The sequence below is a fragment of the Homo sapiens genome, chromosome 11 (assembly GCF_000001405.40).
Source record: "Homo sapiens chromosome 11, GRCh38.p14 Primary Assembly".
Classification (NCBI taxonomy): Eukaryota; Metazoa; Chordata; class Mammalia; order Primates; family Hominidae; genus Homo; species Homo sapiens.
In genome coordinates this window covers 96,249,091-96,272,872 of record NC_000011.10, presented here as the reverse complement: position 1 = coordinate 96,272,872, position 23,782 = coordinate 96,249,091, and the positions used below count along the sequence as shown (strand labels likewise).

The 23,782-nt window shown below is 40.7% G+C and overlaps 1 protein-coding gene across 1 annotated transcript in view, besides 2 other annotated features; it reads left to right on the top strand.

Moving 5' to 3' along the window:
• The window catches only part of MAML2 (mastermind like transcriptional coactivator 2), a 366,598-nt gene that overhangs the window by 70,323 nt on the left and 272,493 nt on the right, over positions 1–23,782 (top strand). The window lies entirely within an intron of this gene.
• Positions 14,028–14,077: an enhancer, noted in NCBI's record as "active region_5425". NCBI's record gives its function as "activates an Ori minimal core promoter by ATAC-STARR-seq in GM12878 lymphoblastoid cells {active_cell/tissue: GM12878}" and the evidence as "EXISTENCE:reporter gene assay evidence [ECO:0000049][PMID:35858748]".
• Positions 14,118–14,207: an enhancer, noted in NCBI's record as "active region_5424". NCBI's record gives its function as "activates an Ori minimal core promoter by ATAC-STARR-seq in GM12878 lymphoblastoid cells {active_cell/tissue: GM12878}" and the evidence as "EXISTENCE:reporter gene assay evidence [ECO:0000049][PMID:35858748]".

The following is a 23,782-nucleotide window of genomic DNA, read 5'->3' as shown; positions in this document are numbered from 1 at the left end:
GTAGGGTGGTTTTTGCTTCACTTTAGACCCAGATTGTAGCACAAAGAGCACTAAGTCGAAGGCTTAAATAGCTTAATTGTACAGCAAGTTAGAAGTTAAAGGGTCAGAGTAATGTTAAGTAAATGAAACTGTTTTGGAGAAAACCTGTAATGCTGCATTCCAGGTCTCCAAAGGCACAGTGCCATTTTTGTGTGTGTTAAATCATTTTAAGGCCAAATACTGGTGTTTGCTGACTTCCAGAACTTCCTTATGTTTCCAGCCTTTGCAAAACAACATAGCCAAGTATATAGTATCTAAATCTGGTGGGCTGCTTCTGAGATTTTCTTGGAAGGTATTTAAATATATGTTGGTTTTTGTTTGTTTGTTTCCCACTCATAATATGTCCTGTTTTCTAAAAACTTTTTAGGTTCAGGCAGTTGACCATTTATGTGAAAAATGTCTGAAAAATTTGACCCTGATAAGGTGGATGCCTCTTGTGAGATCACAGAAGCCCTTAACCTGGAAGAGGCGTGTAAACCAAGAGGTTTCAATATATGTAACAATTGAAATTTAAGCATATTTAAATGTTATCTACTCAAATATTTATTGAGTCCTACTATATGCCAGGCACTGTAGTAGGCACATGTTGAGCAAACAAAAATTCCTGTTCTCATGGGGCTTACATTCTAGCAGAGAAAACACAACACAACACAAGTACAATGCATAGGATGTTGGATGGTGGCACGTGTTGTGGTATAAAATAAGTCAGAGAAAGGAGTCAGTTTTAAATAGGAAGGTTATAGAAGCCTCACTGAGAAGGTGGCATTTGAGCAAGGACCTGAAGGAGGTGTAGGATAGTACCAAGCAGACATCAGGGGAAAGAGCATTCTTAGGCAGGCTGAAGAAAAAGTGCAAACATTCTGAGACAGGAGTATCCCTGGAATGCTCTAGGAATAACAAGGTGGCCCATATGGTCAGAGCAGTAAGCGAAGGAGAGAGAAATGGGAATTGATATCAAAGAAGTAATGCGGTCTTGGAGGCAGGTTGCATACGGCCTTGTAGACCACTGAAAAGATTTCAGCTTTTGTTCTGAATTAGATGGGAAGTGTATTAGTCTGTTTTCATGCTGCTAATAAAGACATACCTGAGGCTGGGTAATTTATAAAGAGGTTTATTTGACTCACAGTTGAGCAGGGCTGAGGAGGCCTCAGGGAACTTACAATCATGGTGGGAGGGGAAGCAAACACATCTTTCTTCACATGGTGGCAGCAAGGAGAAGTGCAGAGCAAAGTGGGGGAAAAGCCCCTTATAAAACCACCAGATCTCATGAGAACTTGCTCACTATCATGAGAACAGCATGGAGGTAACTGCTCCCATGATTCAATTACTTCCCACTGGGTCCCTCCTATGACAAGTGAGGATTATGGGAACTACAATTCAAGATGAGATTTGGGTGGGGCCAAGCCAAACTATATCATTCCAGTCCTGGCCCCTCCCAAATCTCATGTCCTCACACTTCAAAACACAATCACACCCTTCCAACAGTCACCCAAAGTCTTAACTGGTTCCCACTCCTGGTACCAAAATCTGTGTTAGTCAGGGTTCTCTAAAGGGACAGAACTAATAGGATATATGTATACCTGAAGGGGAGTTTATTAGGAGAATTGACTCACAGGATCACAAGATGAAGTCCCACAAATAGGTTGCCTACAAGCTGAGGAGCAAGGAAGCCAGTCCAAGTCCCGAACCTCAAAGGTAAGGAAGCCAACAGTGAAGACTTCAGTCTGTGGCCAAAGGTGTGAGAGCCTCTGGCAAACCACTGGTGTAAGTCCAAGAGTCGAGAAGCTAAAGAATTTGGAGTCTGATGTTCGAGGGCAGGAAGCATCCAGCACAGGAGAAAGATGGAGGCCAGAAGACTCAGCAAGTCTGCTCTTTCCAACGTCTTCTGCCTGCTTTACTCTAGCCACACTGGCAGCTGATTAGATGGTACCTACCCACATTGAGGGTGGGTCTGCCTTTCCCGATCCACTGACTCAAATGTTAATCTCCTTTGGCAACACCCTCACAGACACCCAGGAACAATACTTTTGCATCTTTCAATCCAGTCAAATTAACAGTTAATGTTAACCATTACAGGAAGGTACTGGAGGGTTTTAAGCAGAGAAGTGGCATAATCTGACTTAGGTATTCAATGGATCATTCTCGCTGTTGTGTTTTTAAAAAGACAGGAGGAGGGAAATTTTAAGGAGATTATATAGGAAGCTATTGTATTAATAAGAAATGGTGGCTGGACATGGTGGCTCATGCCTGTAATCCCAGCACTTTTGGAGGCCAAGACAGGCGGATCACGAGGTCAGGAGTTCGAGACCAGCCTGACCAACATGGTGAAACCCCATATCTACTAAAAATACAAAAAAATAACCAGGTGTGGTGGCACCCGTCTGTAATCCCAGCTATTCGGGAGGCTGAGTCAGGACAATTGCTTGAACCCGGGAGGCAAAGGTTGCAGTGAGCCAAGATCGCACCACTACACTCCAGCCTGGGTGACAGAGCAAGACTCCATCTCAAAGAAAAGAAATGGTGGTATCTCAGAACAGACTGCTAGTGTCAGAAGTGGTATTTGTTGGATACTGGATATCTGGTAGAGACTCCAGCAATTTTAGTGGATAGGATGTAAGGTTTAAAAAAAGAGTAATCAACCTAGATGCCAAGTCTTTTTACTGGAGCAGCTACAAGGATGGGGTTGCTCTTTACTAAGGATAAGAAAACTGGGGAGGATTGAGTTTTGAGGAAAAGATCAAGAGCTCAGTTTTGGATGTCAAGTCTTAGCCATCTAAGGAGATATCATTTGTGTATATGACTGGAGTTCAGGGGAGATGTCTGGGTTAAAGACATACATTTGTCAGTCATCAGTGCTATGCTAATTTAAATATTTAAAGCCATGAGGTTTAACGAGAGGTTTCTGAGCTCTGGGGCTCCCAACGTTTAGAGGTCAAGGGGATAGAAACTCCCAGAGGGTACTAGAAGGAGTGGTAAGTGAGGAAGGAGAACAACCTGGAAGCCAAATGAAGAATGCACCTCAAGGCTGGGCATGGAGGCTCACACCTGTAAACCCAACACTTTGGGAGGCCAAGGCATGTAGATCGCTTGACGTCAGGAGTTTGAGGTCAGCCTGGCCAACATGGTGAAACCCCATCTCTATAAAAAATACAAAACTTAGCTGAGTATAGTGGCATGGACCTGTAATCCCAGCTACTCAGGAGGCTGAGGCATAGAATCACTTGAACCCAGGAGGCAGAGGTTGCGGTGAGCTGAGATTGTGCCACTGCACTCTGGGCTGGGCAACAGAGCAAGACATTTCCCCCCAAAATAAAAAGAATGTACCTCAAAAAATAAAGCAAAAAGAGGTTTTTAATGGATTATATATATACTTACTAGGACATGCCAAAGTGAGTGGAAGGAAACAGAAGGAAATAGCCTTGGTCCCTTCAGTAACAACCATGTTAATACCTTCTCAGGAACATAACATACAATAGCTATTTAGGCTGAATGGAGAGCTGAAGCATAAACCTACAATGATGATTCATGTGACTTTCTACCATAGAAATCTCACCAGATTCACAGAACCATAGACACTTTGGAAAAGAGCTAAGAGGAAACCTAGTTCAATCCCTTACCTGATGCAGTATGCCCACCATGAAGTCATCCGTCTTAATCATCTTCAATAACAGGCAACTTGAAATTTCTCAAAAGTCTGTGCATATTTGATTCCCTCTAGCAGTTCCAATAAAAATAACCAAGTCATTTCCATGGTATATGAATGAAGTGGATTATGATGCCAACATTATATTGTTTCATAACTTTCTGAGTATGTTTCTCAGTTTTAGAGATTTATTCTAATCCAAATATGCATTTATTCGAGCAATTTAGTGTTTGCTTGATGTATATACTGTATTAATCTCTTCTCTTGCTGCCAATAAAGACATACTTAAGACTGGGTAATTTATAAAGGAAAGAGTTTTAATTGACTCACAGTTCTGCATAGTGAGGGAGGCCTTACAGTTATGGCAGAAGGCAAATGAGGAGCAAAGTCACATCTTACATGGCGGCAGACAACAGATCGTGTGCAGGGGAACTCCCCTTTATAAAACCATCAGATCTCGTGAGACTTATTAACTATCACGAGAACAGCATGGGAAAGACTCACCCCTATGATTCAATTACCTCCCACTGGGTCCCTCCCATGACAGATAGGAATTAGGGGAACTACAATTCAAGATGCAATTTGGGTGGGGACACAGCCAAACCATATCATATACCAATTTTCCTTGTAAGTAGGGTTTTTGATTTTTCAAATGTTTGTTCCTTGGAAGCCACATAGGTAGGAAAAATATTTACTTACTTTTTTGCTTTGAGACAGGGTCTCCCTCTCTCACCAGGCTGGAGTGGTGTGATCATAACTCACTGTAACCTCAAACTCCTGGGCTCAAGCCATCCTCTCACTTCAGCCTCTGGAGTAGCTAGGACTACAGGAGTACACCACCATACCTGGCTAATTTTGAAATTTTTATTTTATTTTTTGTCAAGACCAGGGTCTTGCTATGTTGCCCAGGCTGCTCTCGAACTCCTGGACTCAAGTGACTCTCCCTCCTCAGCCTTCCAAAGTGCTGGGATTACAGGTATGAGTCAGTGCACCCAGCCTACTTTTTAAGATGTATGCTTAAAGATGCTATGGTAGAAAGGGAAATACAAAGTTAAATAAAGATATCCAAATACCATTATAGCATCAAACTTCATAATAAAATGAAATCATAGAGAGCAGAGATGGCATCCTTCTGGTTCTGAATGTATGTACCTGTCAACAAAAGAAAGCCATCTCCATGTTTCCAGAGTCATGATGAAATCACATTTCAAATTGTTTCAACAGGTGCCTTATGTCAAATGCCTCTTCCTATAAAAGAAACTGCTGAGTTGTTCTAAACAGTGCATGAAAATAGCAAGTGGGCTGAGTGAGCAATCACAGTGAGGTCCTGAGAGGTGTAAAAAACCCCAGATTCAGATTCAGCTTCCTCCAGAGAGTGGGGTTACCTCCCACCATGCTTGAGGGACAGCCCTCCCATAATTAGACTCTACTCACAGTCTCAGCCTGAAGTGTGACTAGCTGAAACTAGTGACTGGAGGAATTGAGCCCCTGTAGGGAGGTCAGAACAGGTAGCACTTTCCTTCTCTTGCTCCCTGCCAATGGTTACCCCTACATAGAATTTTTATTCCTACCTCTGGGCAGCACCAGCCCGTTAATAATGAACCTAGAATGTGAAGTGAAAATCAGCACCATGTGCGGTAAGCATTAGGTAATTACATTTCACTTGTTTAATTAAGTTTCACTTTCTGGTTGCCTTGAGGGAACTGTAGGAAAGGATTTTGATTTTGTTTTTGTTTTTGTTTTTCCTGATGCTTTTTTTCTTTTTTCCCCTAGCTAGAAGCTGAATAATTCCACACAGTGTTGAAATGGATATGCTGTGTTTGTGTTGGCCGAATTAAGCATCTATAATCATGTATTTCCTCTCTTTTGTCTATTTGTGTCACAGTCTTAATATGTGGGATAGAAATTTTGTTTAGTGGAGACATAATTTTTTGATTGTCTTAGGGCTTATTTAAACCAGCTCATCTCCATTATAATGTGTTTCTGTACTTTACTCATCAGCTTGGCACTGACTCCACTATTGTTTTCTTCAAATACTGTGTATTTTCCCTGAAAGTCCAAGTAGCTGACAATTTTGCTACCTCTGCAAGGAAATCTGCTTTATTTTCTCCTAGGTTTTACACATATATAAAACTATACATTAGGGACATACTGTTCCTCAGCAGGCTACATGGCCTTTCATTCACTCTCTTAAAAATATCTGTGGACCTATTATGTGAAATAATGTATGATTTGCTCAATGGGAGATTTACTTCTCAATAACGTTATGTTTTATTAAGCCTCACGTATTTCTAAATTTATATACCTTGAATAATAATTCCATCACAGAAGGGGCTCATTATTAACCACATTTCCATGTGTGATATTCACCGAGGCATGTCCCTGGAAACATACCTAACCACATAAGAGTAAAAGCCTGTCATAGCACAGGAAGCCTAGAATAAGTACATCCTACCATTTAAGCACCTAGGTCTTAATATGTCAGTTCATAATTAGATTCTACCTTTGTGGTCAGTATTTGAAATTGAGATATAGTTAATCAGTTAGAGAGGTAGTCAATTTCACTTTGTCAGTGAAGCTCAGAATCGCACCAATATGTTGTTTTTCTTTTTTTTTTTTTGAGACGGAGTCTCACTCTGTTGCCCAGGGTGGAGTGCAGTGGTGCCATCTCGGCTCACTGCAAGCTCCGCCTCCTGGGTTCATGTCATTCTCCTGCCTCAGCCTCCCGAGTAGCTGGGACTACAGGTGCCCACCACCACGCCCAGCTAATTTTTTTGTATTTTTAGTAGAGATGGGGTTTTACCGTGTTAGCCAGGATGGTCTCAATCTCCTGACCTCGTGATCTGTCCACCTCGACCTCCCGAAGTGCTGGGATTACAGGTGTGAGCCACCACGCCTGGCCAATATGTTGTTTTTCAAAGACTGCCGTCCTCATACAGACCAGCTTGGTACTGACAGAGGAGGTGAAATGGGAAAAGTTCCTTTGTCCCCCTCGCAGGGTGTACGATGGGGAAGTGGCTCGTTTCTTCAGTGCCCTGCTGCTCAGGCCTCTAAGGGAGCATACATACGGGCAGGCTGTGGGGCTCCAACACCAGGGCAGTGTCTAGGGGTGAATGTTTACAGCTTTTGAAGCCCCAGTAGGCATGTGTTACAGGGTGCTCTTTTAGTGTAGCCATCCAAAGGCAGCTTGTGTTAACTAGCTTAATTACACCCTCTACCTTGTGGCAAAGACAGAGGGCTTTCTGTATCCTGGGGTGCTTGCTTTGGTGTAGTGGAAGAATCAGATCACACGTGGGCTTGGAGAATGAGTGCAAGGTTTTATTGAGTGGAAGAAGCTCTCAGCAGATGGGGGAGCCATAAGGGAGATGATTTTCCCCATAAGTTGGGCCGCTTGGGGGCCGAGCGCTCCTCCAACTGCCCCAGCCAAACTCTGTGTTGTTTTGCCCGTCAGTGGCCTGCTGGTGCCTGCTGGTGAGTTCCACTCAACGTCTAGCCGCTTGTGTGTTCCTCTGCCAATGTGCTCCTCTCCACGTCCAGCTGCTTCTGTCTCTGCCTTGCTAGGGTCTCGGGTTTTTATAGGCACAGGATGGGGGCCTGGGTGGTCTTGGGAAATGTAGCATTTGGGCAGGAAAACAAAAATGCCTGTCCTCACCTAGGTCCGTGGGGGTGGAGTCCTAACCTGGGACCATGCCTTCCTCTACCCAGCACTTCCCTTCCCCTCTTCCATATCATTTCTGCTGAGCTGTCTTTCACCAGTGGTTGTGTTCCTTCTCTTTTGAACAGGACTTTCTCTGTGCAGACTTCTGTACTGTTCAGTTACATCATAAGCCATATTCTAGTTATTCACTTGAAAGTTTACACAACCTGCAAGAGTAATTCATGGGGAAAATAACTCTGTTGTTTTTCCATCACATTTTCTGCCTCTGCCAACTCTCCCCTCGTCCTCCCCGCGCTAAAGCCAGCCACTTTTCTGTCCATTTTCACAGGCAGAAATGCTTTGCATCGTGCCTGCTTGTACTGGCAATTGCTTGGGCCTCTTCTGTAGCTTGTCCTCTAGCTGTCTCTACCACATTCCTAATGAAAGTCAGCTGACACTATGTATTTGTGTACAAAGAATAAATAACATGGTTTAGTTATGTAACAATTTGAAATGCCTTGATTTCTTTAGGTTAATGTTAACAGCCTCAGTATTGGTAATTCCTGACCGTCTGCTAACTTTTGAAAGCCAGAAGGTCTTGCTCTTCAAACTCTTCTCCTCACAGGATGTAGTGGGCTTATAGCTGAAGAAAGGCATATCTAGGGTATTAAATGTGTTCTTGCAAAACTAAATAAGTACCCTATGCCGAAATAAGATATGCTGTGTGGTAACTAGTTTTTAGAGTATTTGAAGCAATGATTTGTACTCCTTTCAACGTTTTCATTTCAGGAGCATTTTAAGAAGTGGTTTGGGGTCATGACTCCTACTTCAATACAGTAGTTAGTACAATTTGTAATGCTTAATTTGTGGACCCTCCGTTATTAGCTTAGAAGACATAACTTGAAACCAGTACGGTAGAGTGGATGAGGAGACATTCCAAGATGGTTAAGATAAAGCTAAGGAAAATGGAAATGCCTTGCCCAGCGTGACTAAGAGGGTCAGGAATAGAACCTGACTCCTAATAGAACACATTTTTGAGTGAGTGGCACAAAACAGGACATGTTAACAATCAGAACTCAAGTCCAGCCGTAAAACATATTTGTATACACTGTTGCATATTGTGTTCAAATGGGTTATTTTTGCCTCAATCTGTTCCAATGCACATTCCTGCCAGAGGTAGGTATTGGTTTGGAGATAATTTTTTCTCCAGCAGCATGCAAAAGTCAGGGTTTCCAGATACTAAACTGAATGGGGGTCTGGGCCTTATAAAAAACGAACACATGGATGGGTTCCATACTTTGTAACTAATTTGGCAGCAGCTGACATCTTAGTTTGTGAGGGGGCTTTACAAAAGTTACGGACCTGTAACCTCTGCATTGGGCTAGGCTCCCCCAGTTAGGTTACTTGGGGATGAATAGTTGCTGAGATAATTGTGGGTAAATGTAGAACAATAGCCCAAACAAGAGACACTCTGGCACTCTAGTCCATACTTGGCTTTTAGGCTCTAAAGAAGTGATCTGGGTCTTTTTTGAATTATAACTATAACCAACATTTATTTCAGAGTGATTTCTACATATTTCCTTAATTTTCCCTCACCAAATCCCCCTAAGGAGGTCTGTTAATACACTAATGCTATAGATCTTTTATAAGGGCACAGACAGGCCCAGGAAGATGGTGACATGCACAAGGCTACACAAATAATAAATAAGGATTGGGAAACATACATTTGGGTCTCTTGACTCCAATTTGGTTGCTCTTTTAATGATACCAACCACTTTGACCATTCAAAGGGGTCATTGTGGTCCCACCAGCCCCCCTCCATACCTGCTGAGCCCAAGTACAGACTCAAAAGGAATTTCCCTTGTGGCTAGAGGATGTACTGTATAAAAGATCAGGATCCCATTTCACCTTTCCTTTCTTTCAGAACTATCTTAGCTTTACCTTTGGATAAATGTATGTCATTAGTGGGAGATCATCTGCCTCTTAAATTCTTATCTTTCACAATGGACACCAGACTTCCTTTTAAGGTGCTATGTGTGACTCATCAGTAGTTTAAAATTTTGTAAGATACATGAACATTTTCTGATTGAGAAACACTTTAGAAATGCTGAACATATTATTGTGAAATAACAATGACTAATATTGTTGTTAAATTGTTGAATTGTAATAGCTTTAACCTTTTTTGATTCAGTCTGTTTATTCCAAGTTATCTTGCCTTTTAAATGGCTTTGAAACATTGGCAAACAATGCTGGTCTCTCTTACAGATCTCAGTCCTGCTTTTAACAATGACAGGCAGTGTATTCAAAACATACCTGAATTGGACATGACATTTTGGGGAATATTTTGACTAGTTTGTAATAAAAGAAAAGTTGAATAAATCAGAATTGATTAAAGAGGTGATAGTATACCAAATGCTATGGTGAGCAAATTACTCTTGAGAAATGCATTGTTTATATAGATATTACAATGTCATGCTGTTCTCAACCCAATCAACTATATAAACTGGAGTAGAAATTCCTGAACTTTTTTTTAACTCCCGGGGAAGCAGTTTACTATTAGCAATTAGTATAATGATTACTATCAAATCTTGCCAAAGAGAGATCAAGAAAAACATGGGTGCAAAGTAAACATGACTCCTTTGATTTTATTAATGGATGATAGGATTGAAAATAAGCCAGAAGGTGCAGAAAGCTGAGATTATAGTAAAGCAGGCAAATATGGCACTTGCCATGTTTATCTACAAGCTTGCCATTCTTTGGGCAGTAAATGAAACAGAGCATTAAAACAAGGATTTAAAAAATGGATTAAATTATCCCAGCACTTTGGAAGGCTGAGGTGGGCGGATCATGAGGTCAGGAGATCCAGACCATCCTGGCTAACATGGTAAAACCCCATCTCTACTACAAATACAAAAAACATTAGCCAGGCGTGGTGGCGGGTGCCTGTAGTCCCAGCTACTCGGGAGGCTGAGGCAGGAGAATGGCATCAACCTGGGAGGCGGAGGTTGCAGTGAGCTGAGATTGCGCCACTGCACTCCAGCCCGGGCAACAGAGCGAGACTCCATCTCAAAAAAGAAAAAAAAAAAGATTAAATTTTAAAAATAAGAACAAATGGTGACTGGAGGGAAAAACAAGAGGAAAGAAAACGAGCAGTAATCAAAATCTTGGGAGAATTATTTTCAGTTTGATTTTGTGAATTTTATTTATACAATAAATAATAATGCTAACTGAGGGTCAAATTAATCTATGAGAATGTTATAAATGACCTTAAATCAGCACATTTGGAGAAGTAAAAAACTGAATCTGTGACTGAACTCTGTCTTCATTTATCATAAAAACCGTACACAATTTTTAATCTTCCAATGTCTCAGTGACACCTATTTCCAGATTAGTGGTCCTCGAACTTTAGTACATGTCAGAATGTCCCAGAATGCTTGTGAAAAATACGGATTTCTGGGTTCCATCCTCAAATACTCAAGTTCAGTAGATGTTGGTTGGGACCCAGAAAGATGCAAGGACTTCAGGACATCTTTTAAAAACATTAATATGGAGAATAATGAGCCAGGAGGGAAATAACTCTTTGAGTCAGAGAATGCCACTGATTTTAGGAATTCTGACCGTATCAAATACAAATTTTAGAATTTAAATATTTGTTCATGGTGATATATTAGAAATCTAACATAACACATATTGGTGAAAAAATAATTATAAAATTGTCTGCAGTTAGGTAACTTGGTTGTTTATAATCAAACTGTTTAGACAATAACATTGAAATAGTTACTGAATTGAACACTTCCTTATTTTATAGACGAATAATATGGAGCTCAGGTAGTCAAAGTAATTTGCACAATATCATGTCACTAGCTAGGGACCAGGCAAGATATTTGCTCTTTCCATTCATTATGTTGTGTTCCTTTCAAAAGTCTCTATAAGTCTCCAATATTATCAGAAGGACTTGGGGTAAGCCAAGAACCCCATTAGACGATACCTTCGGCTCATGTAGGAAAATAAGGTTATAGGCTTGTATAAACATAAATATACTTAACAAAAGCAATTCTACGGTTATAGCTATAGAATACACCTTGTCTTTCCTCTCAATAAATGTCATGAACCACTGGATGGAGTGTCTTAGTTTGTTTTCTTTTGCTTATAACAAAACACCCAAAACTGGGTAATTTATAAAGAAAAGGAATTTATTTCTTACAGTTATGGAGGCTGAGAGGTCCAAGGTTGAGGGGCTGCATCTGTTGATAGCCTTCTTGGTGGTGGGGATTCTGTGGCACAGGGCATCACGTGGCGGAGGGGGCTGAGCGTGCTAATGTGCTAGCTCAGGTCTCTCTTCCTTTTATAAAGTCTCCAGTTCCCCTCCCATCATAACCCATTAATCCGTGAATGGATTAATCCATTTATGAGGACAGAGCCTTCATGATCCAATCACCTCTTAAAGTTACCACCTGTCAATACTGCCAGATTGGAGATTAAGTTCCAACATGCGTTTTGGAGGGGTCATTCAAACCATAGCATAGAGTAATGATGGTAAGTTGTTTCAGGCATAAAATTTGAAATAAATTATGAGGCTCCATGATATGCTATATTGGTTTTACCTTCAGAAGAATATTTAGTTTCACTCAGGTTTTTCAAAGCTACGCTGTCCCCCAAAAAACGAAACAAAACAAAAAAACAACCTTTTTAAGAGTTGATGGCTACTCATTTGATCTGCCTCCTCTGCTGAATCAATTAGGAATTTTTTTTTTTTTTGCCTGCAAATAACAGAAAACTGACTAACAGTGTAAGAAATAAAGTGATTACAAATAGGGATTTTTCCTCCCACACACACTACAATATTTCTGGATATAAGGTCATTATGGGTATTAGTTTAGTGACTCAAATAATATCACTGCTCAGGGTCAGTTTGTCTGTGATTCTCTATGCCTTTCTCTCATAGTCTTAAACTGCAGGTATCACATTGGCAGACTGGAGGGAGGAGTGAGGGCAGCCCTGGTGTTCCTCTTATCAGAAAAGCTGAAAGTGTCCCAAAAGCACACCCCTCTCCTATCAGATGTCCATCTTATTGGCCGGAACTATGCTGCACCTCCATTCCAAGAACAAGAGACACTGAAGAAAAAAATGTATTGCTTTAGCTTCTAAAAAGGAGACGGCCAAGGGATAAGACAGTTGAGAAGGGTGTGGCATGACAGAGTGTCTGCTGCTCTCTTGGTTTTAGAAGGAACTCCTGTTATTCCAGTGTCACCTGAGTACAGACTGGGTCTCATGGGGCCACTCCAGATTCAGACATTCTTCTTTTTTCTTCTGCTCTACCACCATCCTTCTAGAGTCTGCCAGTTTGCTTCCCCCCACCCCATCCCCCAACACCACACAGAGTGACTCCACTCCCACACACACAGGCATTCACACAGTCCAACCTTCATTTTTAGGAAGTCCTGGAACTGACTGGCCTTTAGGAAGGTGGCACAGGTGTTCCGAGGATTATAAAATGTTTTATTGAATAAGTTTTCTCTGTGGATGTCCAGGAACCTTTCCTCCCAGCCTGTTTGAAAGAATAATGATTAAATTAGAACAGGACATACTGATGTTTAAAAAAAAAAAAAAAATCACAAGTCAGTATCTTGAAAGTATATCCCAAGGCTTTTTTTAAGGTAACCTTTATACTGAACCATAAAAAGATTAAAGACACCTTCCTCTAGAATCAGGCCCTGTCATTCACATTGAGATTGTTCAGAAAAAGAAGAGTTGACACCTTTACTGAAAGGAGTCAAGGTCTTGCAAGCAGGAAACTGGTTTTATGACAATTCCCTGCCTTGCTAGGTAAGCTGGTCCACATCGAGATGACTCTCTCCTTGACTTCTGACTTACTTTGTGTTTGTTGGAGGAATCCTATGAGTCATATTTAGCCTTTCCAGCCTGATTGAGTTTGAAGGAGCCACTGGATTATTGCATACAATGGATTTTGCAAAGAGTTTTCTCCAGCATACCCACAGGAGAAAGGCAAGTCGGTTCATAAATGGAAATTCTAGACAAACAACTAAGCTAAAGACACCTCTCTGTATAAATGCTTCCAGATGGAGACAAGTTTTTCACTTCACTCTCCACAGTTTTCACTTTAAAGGGTTATTGAGATGGAAGCATTGGAGCGAAGCACATTAGAATCACTTGCCCCACCTTGCCTTCTGAGGAAGAATGACTTACGGTTGCAAGGGGAAAATGCTGGCTAAAAAATAAATCTTGGTCTGTTCCCCATAGTCTATCAACACATGCTTTTCAGAAGAAGAAAAAGAAAAAAAACATCTGGAAAGAATAGGACTGAGTTGGTAGAACATCTTGAAGGGGGCTGGCCTTCACTTAGAAAATTGAAAAGACATGCAGATAAGCCATTAGGAAGAAGAGTCTGTGGTTGTTAAGCAGAGTTACCTAAAGAAGGAACTTCAAGATACAAGTTTAAAGCAACACTCTGTAATTATTTGTATTATAGTATAAGGTTGTTAAGTTTGTCTTCACCCTTTGAAAGAGTTCTGAACAGAGTTAGTGTTTTCGTAAAAAATCTCAGGGCCTACAAAAAATGCCATTTGGCCTCCACAATAAGTTGCTCCCACCCAGAAAGTCCTCTCCCTTCTACAGCTTCCTGTATAAAAGGCTGGGATACCAACATCTGCCTGAAGCAAAAACACATGTATTTTAACCAAATAAATAAAAAGGAACAAAAGTCTGAGTACATCATGCTGCTCATAGTCTTACTGGCTGACTCCCATTGGCTCTCTCACTGTTGTTATAATTTCGTTTATGCCCTAGGCAGATGGGCCTCTCTGCTCATAGGTGATTTAGAATCTGCTGATAGTGGCTGGAATGAAGCATGGAGGATCTGGCAACTTCTAAGCACACTGGCTTAGACCACTGTATTCTTGGGCTTTGATGTTTACTCCATATATGATTCCCATCAATGGTGATACCTGGGCCATTGTCCAGTGGGTGAATGTGATTTTCTTCTTTGGAGAAGCCCATTGCAAATCACAGCTAATAGGGACCCTAATGAGGACGTTCACCTCCCAGCTCCTCTGTGCCAGGGCAGTGGATAACAACAGGATGTGGGTTTTAAACACATGTAAGCTTCTTCAAGCTGCCTCTTTCAGTTTCATTCTTTTTTTAAGGCACTAGAAAATATAATCCACATACTTGAAACAAACATTTTTTCTTGCTGCTAATGTTTTTTGTCGTAGTTTTCTCCCATGTCAGGAGTGGATTCCACTCTGATTAGTACCAAGATATATTAATTGGTACAATATGTAAATGAAAACATGGGATATTTACAAGGTAGGCAGAAGATGATATATGCTTATAAGTTTCACTTTCAGTAAATATGAAAATGTATTTTATTCATCCTCCATGGTTGTTGTTAAAGCCACTCTGCTATACCTTGGACTTAGCAAATGATTTTGATGAATAGGACCAAAAGATGTCAAGAGCCACAAACCTATCACGGTAAAAATTAAAGGCATTTAGTTCCAAATTAATTTATTTAAAAAGAAGTTGTAATATTTGAACAGGCCATAAAATTAGGATCAAGTAAGCAAATCTGTAGGCATTTTATCAGAGACAGGAGCAATGAGAGACTGCAGGAAATAGAAGGGAATCAGACTTTTATTCTTTATAAAGTTGTTATTCCAGTCCTCACCATCCCCTTTGCTCCTCTTCCCAATTCATTATTTTCCTTTCTGTTACTAGTAAGTCCTTCTCGTCTCTCCTCTTCTTCCCATCACCCCCAGGATACACAGTAAAGAGAGAATACCAGAAATGGGCAGCACTGGTGAGCAAAGAAATATTATAGAGGTTTTTTTTTCATTCCAAGTTTTAAGTTGTCCTTGTGCATGAAATATGCACATGATAAAAAGGGGGTTGCCATCAATGCATATTGTCTTGAAAAGCCAAGGGCTCTTTTTCGGTTTTTCTCTATAATGAAGACTGTTAGACTGTGGACTCTATAATTATGCTCACTGAACAAATACCTTGAAAGGGAAGTAATTCCAAGTCATGTATCAAAGATTCAATTTGACATGTATTTACTAAATGCCTAACATGCCTATGCATTTTGTTTATTCATTTATAGTAACAAGATATAGTGAGTTCATATTCTGTGCCAGCACTGTGCTCAGTATTGAAAAATTGGAGTCACAAGATTCCCACTTTCAAGAACTTACAGTCCAATGGAGGAGAAAGAAGTATGAAAGGATCAATTGCAGGGTGACAAGAGAGTGTTCCAATAGTGCAGATCCAGAGCTGTGATTTTAAAAAGATGATGCAAACCAGTTATCTCTTGCTTCATGGAGTGGATGGGCTACAGGAAATTTGACAATAAAACAAAGCTTAAATAAATTGCAACATTTGTCTACAACTCTACTGTAAAATTGGAAATGCTTTTCCACAGAAAAACCTCTCAAAATGCTGAATGCAAAAGTTGGGATCACAGAAACATTGTGCCTATTTTTGGTCTGCTGGAAACTGTATTTTTACAAGGTAATCCCTGTTTTCAATATAGTTCCTGTCTTGCCACTGGCGGTTTTCTTGTAGCATTTTTCTAGTTCTGAGATTGCTACTACCCAAAGTATTCATTTCTTTCTTACTGGGGTGTCCTCTGTCTTCACAGCCTGCTTCTGGATTGTAGGTTTTTTCCTTTCTTTCTGTTGAGATATTTATGGCATTTGATAGAGTCAAACCAGATGTATTGCAGCCGGACATACTTATGTGGCTTCAGATGTGTAAAATAAGTAACTTCCTATCTTTGTCTGTCTAGCTCAAGAGTTGACTGTGGACGAGGAATGCCTGTATTGATTCATTAATGTAATAACTATTTACTGACTGCCTACCATGTACAACCAGAAACACAGTTCCTAACCTCATGAACTTACCATGTAACATGGGAAGACAAGCACTAAGTTCTTATTTGTTTGTAATTGTGATAAGGCTCAGAGAACAAATACAGATTCCTATGAACCCATGTATAGGGGGAAATATTTAGGTTCCATTTAATACTGACATGGCTAAGTATCTCAGTATTTAAGCTGAGATCTGAAGGATAATTAGAAGATTCCTCAGGCAGAGGGAAGAGCAAAGGCTGTGTGTGGGGCAGGAAGAAATGTGGTCGTTTGAGGAACTTCGAGATCAGCGTGGCCACTGATGTGCTGCAGTGTAGCAAAGAGAGCAAAAGAAAGAGAGAAACAGGGAGGAATGGAATTCAGCTCACGGGCTCTGGAATCAGAGTTTCAAGTTGGAATCCTGACTTCCTAGCTGTATCGGTTAAGAATTTTTTTTTGTGGCATCCAAAGAACAGAAAGCCTACCTTACTGAGGTTCATATAAAAAGGGGAAATTGGCCAGGTGCGGTGGGTCACACCTGTAATCCCACTACTTTGGGAGGCCGAGGCGGGTGGATCACCTGAGGTCAGGAGTTCGAGACCAGCCTGGCCACAGTGGTGAAACCCCGTCTCTACTAAAAATACAGAAATTAGCTGGGTGTGGTGGCGGGCGCTTGTAATCCCAGCTACTCGGGAAGCTGAGGGAGGAGAATCGCTTGAACCCGGGAGGCAGAGGTTGCAGTAAGCCAAGATCGCGCCATTGCACTTCAGCCTGGGCAACAAGAGCAAAACTCTGTCTCAAAAAAAAAAAAAAAAAAAAAAAAAGGCGGTGGGGGGAAATTATCTCCACAAAACAAAAAGTCCGACAATAAGCAATAAGCTGTCCAGGGCTGATACAGGGCATGATGAGGTCATCACAGATCCAGGTTCTTTCTGTCTTCTGCTCTGCATTCGTAGCCTGTGGCTTTGTCATTCCCTCATCTGGAAATGGCGGCTGCAGCCCCAGGCACAATGGCCCGTTGAGGAAGAAGGGGGACGATGTGCAGTGTCAGGTTATTTTATCAGGAAAGTTCAAAGCTTCTCAGAAATCTTCTGTTGGAATTCTACCTGGGTGTCATAGGCCAGAACACAACCCAAATAACCAGGAAAAATGTGAAAGTGAGAAAATAGATCGTCCACCCCTAACAATGGAGGCAGCAAGTGAGAGGGGATTGGGAATGTGTGTTGATTTCCTCAACAGTGTTTGACATAACCACTTTCTAGCTTTATAATCTTAGGCAAGTAACTCAACTTCCCAGTTCCTCTTCTGTAAAATGGGGATAACACCTGAAAAGGTTGTTACAAGATTCACTGAAATAGTTTCTATGCTCAGTCAGTAATCAGCATTCAATCAATATGAGCTCTAACATGATGCTTGACAGTTATGCAACGAACAGTTCATGAAGAGCTTTGTAAGCCATATTGATAATTTTGTCTTTATCCTTAGCACAGTGAGAAGGTATTAAAGGATTTTATGCAGGGAAGTGACATGATCATATTTGTGTTTTCAAAAGAGCCCTCAGGCTGGGTGTGGTAACTTGCGCCTGTAATCCCAGCACTCTGGGAGGCCATGGCAGGCGGTGGGCGGATCGCTTGAGCCCAGGAGTTCCGGACCAGCATGGGCAACTTGGGGAAACCCCACCTCTAAAAAAAAAATGCCAAAAAAATTTTAGCTGGGTGTGGTGGCACTCGCCTGTAGTCCCAGCTGCTCGGGAGGCTGAGGTGAGAGAATCACCTGAGCCTGGGAGAGGCTGTAGTCAGCTGTGATTGCGCCATGCACTCCAGCCTGGGTGACACAGTGAGACCCTGTCTCAAAAAATAAATAAAAAATAAAAAAAGGAGCCCTCAATTTATCCTCTGCCTCTGACAAATATATTCCATTTTGTTACATTGCAAAAATTTCAGCACATTGCTTTGCTTACCCATCTTTGCTCTGGAACGACTTTTAATTCTTCTTTTGGCAATCTTGGTTGTTTTGAGATGTGTGAAATTAGAATCATATGCAGGTGTTTGAGTTCTTTTGATTTTGCTTTTTAAAAGAGTTTTTTTTTTGTTTTGTTTTGTTTTGTTTTTAGAATGGGGCAATGTAAAGCCAGAATATCAACGTCCTTTTGTCAAGATTTTCAAACCTATTTGGCTGATAGTACACTTACAAGAATAGGTAAAAAAGATCCCAAAGATTTTACTTCACTTACTTGAACTACTAGCCCTACTATTAAGAGCCACAGCAAGCTTACATGTTCAAAAAAAAAAAAAAAAAGAGCTGCAACATTCCTTTCGCACTCCCACTCGCCCCTGAGGTTCTTCCACTTCCTTCCTATGGCTTTTTTTAGAAGCGAGTGTGTTTTTCTCACGTCCGGCAACAAAGGATGTTTTGTGCTACTACTGAGGTTTGTGTGTGTGACTTACTTTAGAACTCTTTCTAGAAAATGCGATTACTATTTGCATAGGTCTGGTAGAACTTTGTATTGAGTGAAAGTCTCCGATGACTGTTTTTGTTTTTGTGTAGATTTGCCACTGCTTAACATCAAATCACTTTCCCCTGTGTGTTTTAAAATACCTCTAATAGGACCTGTCAAAATTCTCCCAGAAGTCTCACAAATTCTTACCTTTAAAGAAAGTGTAAGTGATACCTTCAGTGTATTGTATTTATTCTTATATACCTTTGCAAAGACTTCTCATCACTTCCTTAAATATGTCTGATAGTGCCATAATGAGAAGGGGACATGGTAATTAACCATCAACTTTGGTTTTCATGGAGAAAATCTATCTGGAGCAGTCACAGTATCCTATGCTGGAGCTATCAGATGCCTTGACATTAGATGTTTCCATCTAATTGTAATTCTCTGAGCAAGGAGACAAGGTGGGATAAACAGAATTCTCAGATGGCTGAGAATTATACCCTAAATCCTGGGAGAGAATTTACCTTTCCATTGTCAGATAATATGAATCATTTAAAACATGTGCTGGAACAGCTTTGCCTTTTCTTGAGGAAAATGGGGTTTCTCTCTCAAAGAGAAAGATAAATGCGCCTCAGAAGATTTTAGTGGTCGATCTCTGTCAGTGTACTACCAGCAAAAATCCCAGCAATCAATATTACAAAGAGGCAGCACTCACTTGAGTACAGAAGTAACAACATTAGCTGCTTCGTAAACAAGATGGCATGGGAGATATTCTGTTTTGAGTAAATGACAAGTCCTACAGTCTAGATAGGAAGATTTCTCCTCCATATGGATTTTGTGATTTCGTCTTGTGTTGAGTAAGGAAGGGGAGCTTGGATTCCAAGATCAATTTAATGTCTATATTCCTTGGCATTGTCATGTTAGAGCAGCACATCTCAGATGGCTTTCAATAGTTATTTTAGCATTGATTTTCCTCTACTAGAGTAAATCAAAAGATGATTTAGAAAATCAAAGTCAGTTTTCCTTGGAGTTTTCTCAGAATAAAGGGAAGCTGTGGTGTTGAAGGGTTTTTTTGGCTCCTATTTACATATGATGCAAAATCAATCTGTGTGAATCTCTTTCCTCTGTTGAGCTCTACTATAGGCTCTACTATATGCAGAGCCTTGGGTATTTCTGTGCGAGGGGGATTATGCAAAAGAATTTTAAGGCATGCCACTTGACTTTGTGAAACCAAGTATTTGTTTAAAGAGACACGATATTATAGTGGGAGGCTGTTTTGTGAGAACCCACACTTTCATGTCAGCACCCTGAGATGGGATCCCATTACGCCCTTTAACCAGGCAAGGGACTTTATGCAGTTCTTCGTCAGGAAAATGGAGACAATTAAACTGCTTTTCTCATAGGTTGTTGTGTAAAAGGCAGCAAGATGTGGCTGTGTAAGAACATGACTGAAGCCAGACTGCTTATGCTTAAAACCTAGGTGAGCTGTTTACACCTGATATGACCTTGGACAAGTCTCATCTAACTTCTCTTGCCTCAGGTGCCTCATCTGAAGATAGCAGTGATGTTAGTGTCTGCCTCCTGCCTCATAAGCCTGTCATGTTGAGACCATCCTGGCCAACATGGTGAAACCCCGTCTCTACTAAACATACAAAAATTAGCCAGGCATGGTGACACGCGCCTGTAGTCCCAGCTACTTGGGAGGCTGAGGCAGGAGAATTGTTTGAACCCGGGAGGCAGAAGTTGCAGTGAGCAGAGATCGCTCCACTGCACTCCAGCCTCGTGACAGAGCGAGACTCCAGGTCAAAAAAAAAAAAAAAAAAAGAGTTAGTCAAGGTAAAGCGCTGAGAACAATGCCTTGCACAAAACATCACATAAGGGTTTGCTTTCATTATTGTGAGGATTAGATATAATGCATGTGAAATACTTGACACATGTAGAAGGTAACTATTCACTGTTATTTATATAGAGAACTCAGCAAAATGTGTAGTACATTTTCAGAACTTAATGTTGGTTGACTTCATTTTCTATTGTACATGTCTGTGTGTGTGTGGGGTGTGTGTGTGTGTGTGTGTAGAGAGAGAGAAGCACATATTTCCCAACAGCATAACGAGTGTAATTTTATGGGAAAAAGTATTTAGACCCAATTGGAAATTAGCCAGGCCATACAACCAGGAGTGTCTTTGCTACTCCGTCTGGTGTTGAAAGGGTTTGTATTGACTGGGCGCGGTGGCTCATGCCTGTAATCCCAGCACTTTGGGAGGCTGAGGCGGGCAGATCATGAGGTCAGGAGATCAAGACCATCCTGGCTAACATGGTGAAACCCCGTCTCTACTAAAAATACAAAAAAATTAGCTGTGCGTGGTGGCCGGCGCCTGTAGTCCCAGCTACTCGGGAGGCTGAGGCAGGAGAATGGCGTGAACCTGGGAGGCGGAGGTTGCAGTGAGCCAAGATCGCGTCACTGCACTCCAGCCTGGGTGACAGAGTGAGACTCCGTCTCAAAAAAAAAAAAAAAAGGGTTTGTATTTGTGGGCCTCTTTTTTTCTGTTGATGCTTCTCCAACATTCCACCATGGATGGAACCTCTAACACCTCATAACATGTTTGGAAAATTAAAAGGGATAATCACTGCTTATTATTCCTACTACCATAGAAGGTTAAAACATACCTGTCTTTTGGGCTTAGCTAGAACTCTAAATTTAGTAATCCTACTTACTACTAATAACAATACAGGCAGTTTCCAGAGTTTCCAATTTACTTACATAAGTTCTGTCTTCCAAAATTCAGTTATAAAACAAGAATTTGAATCTCACAATACACTTTCCCATAAAAAATGTTATAAGACATAATTAAAACTCAGGCCTACCTATCTAATTATCCCAATACCTTAGAGAAAAAAAATGGTACCGTAGATCACCAATCATGTGTGATTCATAGCACATGCTGTGAATTCTAGCTACAGAGATATCTGAAACACAGCTACCTCCATGAAAATTCTAGGGATGAGAGGCCTCATGCCTGTACTCTACCATCTTTAGTAAAAGACAACATTTTGCGGGACATGATTTTCACTGGGTAACTTCAGCCTCAGTTTTTGGGCAACATCAATGGCAGAAGAGAATGAGGGATGGCGGGGTGGAAACAGTTATTGTTATGTGTATGTAATTGTAAAGACTACTTTATTGCTAGCGATATAAAATTGCTAAAAACTTTGGCATTTGTTTTATTGCTCCCTCTTCTCCCTCACCCCTTACCATCACTCCACAAATCAACCAAAGCCAATGTCCTAAGGGATACTTTCAGTTGTTTCAATTATAGTTCTTCCTGCAGGTCCTCCAAGTATGAAATTAAGAGGCTTTCAAGATGGAGAAATCCTCTTTTTGCAATATGAAGAAAAGAGTTTGTAATGTCATTATCACCAAATAAGTTACTATTAATCCTGAATCAAGTCGTATTTAATTGTTTTGCCAGTCCAAAAAGCCTCCCTATTTAGTCTGTATGCAAGGACAGCCTGGCAGAGAAATTGAACACTTGTCATTTTAAAATGTGTCTATCACTTAATGCTTTACACAGAAGAGAAGGTGATAGTAGCTTCCTTCATGCTCCAGAGCTGCTGGTGTGACATCAATATATTCATTCATTCAAAATTTACTGAGCTTTCACTATGGACCAAGCACTACTCTTCTAACTGCTAGATATAAAGGGATAGGGAGATATTTATTAAATGATACAAAATTACAGCTAGATAGGAGGAATAAATTCTAGTGTTCTTTAGCACTGTAGGATGACTATAGCAAACAATAATATATTGTTTCAACTAGCTAGAAGGCGGATAGTGTATGTTCCCAACACAAATAAATGATAAATGTTTGAAATGATGGATGTGCTAATTATCTTGATCAGAGCACTATGATTATATGTATTGAAACATCACTATGTACCTCATGAATATGTACATTTTTTTCAATTTAAAAAATAAAATTTTAAGAATAAAAAATTTTTAAATTTTAAACATTTTTTTAAATAAAAAAGAAAAGCAGATAATTTGTCTACCAAGCCTAGATGGATGTATACTCATAAACAGGTAATACTGTAGTGTGCCATAGGGTGATAAGTGCCATGGAGGGGATTAATTTCATGCAGAGCGGGCCTGCAGGAAGTAAAGGAGCGAGCCGTGAAACTGTCTGGATAACGAGTTCTCAGGTAGAGGGAATAGCAAGTGCAAAGTCTCTGAGCGAATTGCAGGGAGGCTCTAGCAGGACCAGAGTAAACTAGGTGGGAGTGATGGGAGATGAGTTCTGAGAGGTAGCAGGAACACCTTGTAGGGCTCTGTAGACCAATACGAAGATTTGGTCTTATTCTAAGTAAGACAGGCAGCAAAGTGTTTTAAGCAGAAGTATAAGAAGATCTAGCTCATTTTTATAGGCTTACTCTGGGTCTACATTGTATGGAGATATGTTGCATAGTTTATTGCATAGTTGCACAAGTTGGAAGTGATGGTTGCTTGGAGCTAGTTACTAGCTACTAGCAAGCTAGTAGCAGTAAAAGTGGGGAAAAGTGTGGATTTTAGATATATTTTAAAGTCAGAGCCAAGAGTAGTGCCAATACGTTGGATGTAGGGTGTCAAAGAAAGAACTGAACCAAGGATCACTCAAAATGTGTGACTCGTGCAGCTAGAACTGCCATTTATTGAGCTGGAGGGATATTGTTGGAGTGTCATTTTTGGTTACTGAGGAAAGAAGAGGCGAGAGAACTGAAGTTTCATTTTGGACATTTTAGTTTGACATGCCTATTAGACATCCAAGCGGAGAGGCCAAGTAGTCAGGGGAATAAGTAAGCTGGAATTCATGCGCAAGGGCTGGCTTAAAAGTGTACATTTATGTATTTAAGGCTAGAAGGCTGAAAGAAAACACCTGGAGCAGAAGTATAGCTAAAGAAAAGAAGAGGCGTTTGAACAGAGTGCTAACACTCCAATATCTAGAGGTCGGAAAGATGAAGTGGAAGCAGAAAGGAGACAGAGGAGAAGTGAGGGAGAGAACATAAGAGAAAATAGTGCCCCAAAAGGCTAGTGAAGAAAGAACTTAAGAAGGAGGAAGAGTTTATTTGTCAGATAAAGAGTTTGTTGTCAAATACTGCCAATAAATTAGTTAAGCTGAAGAC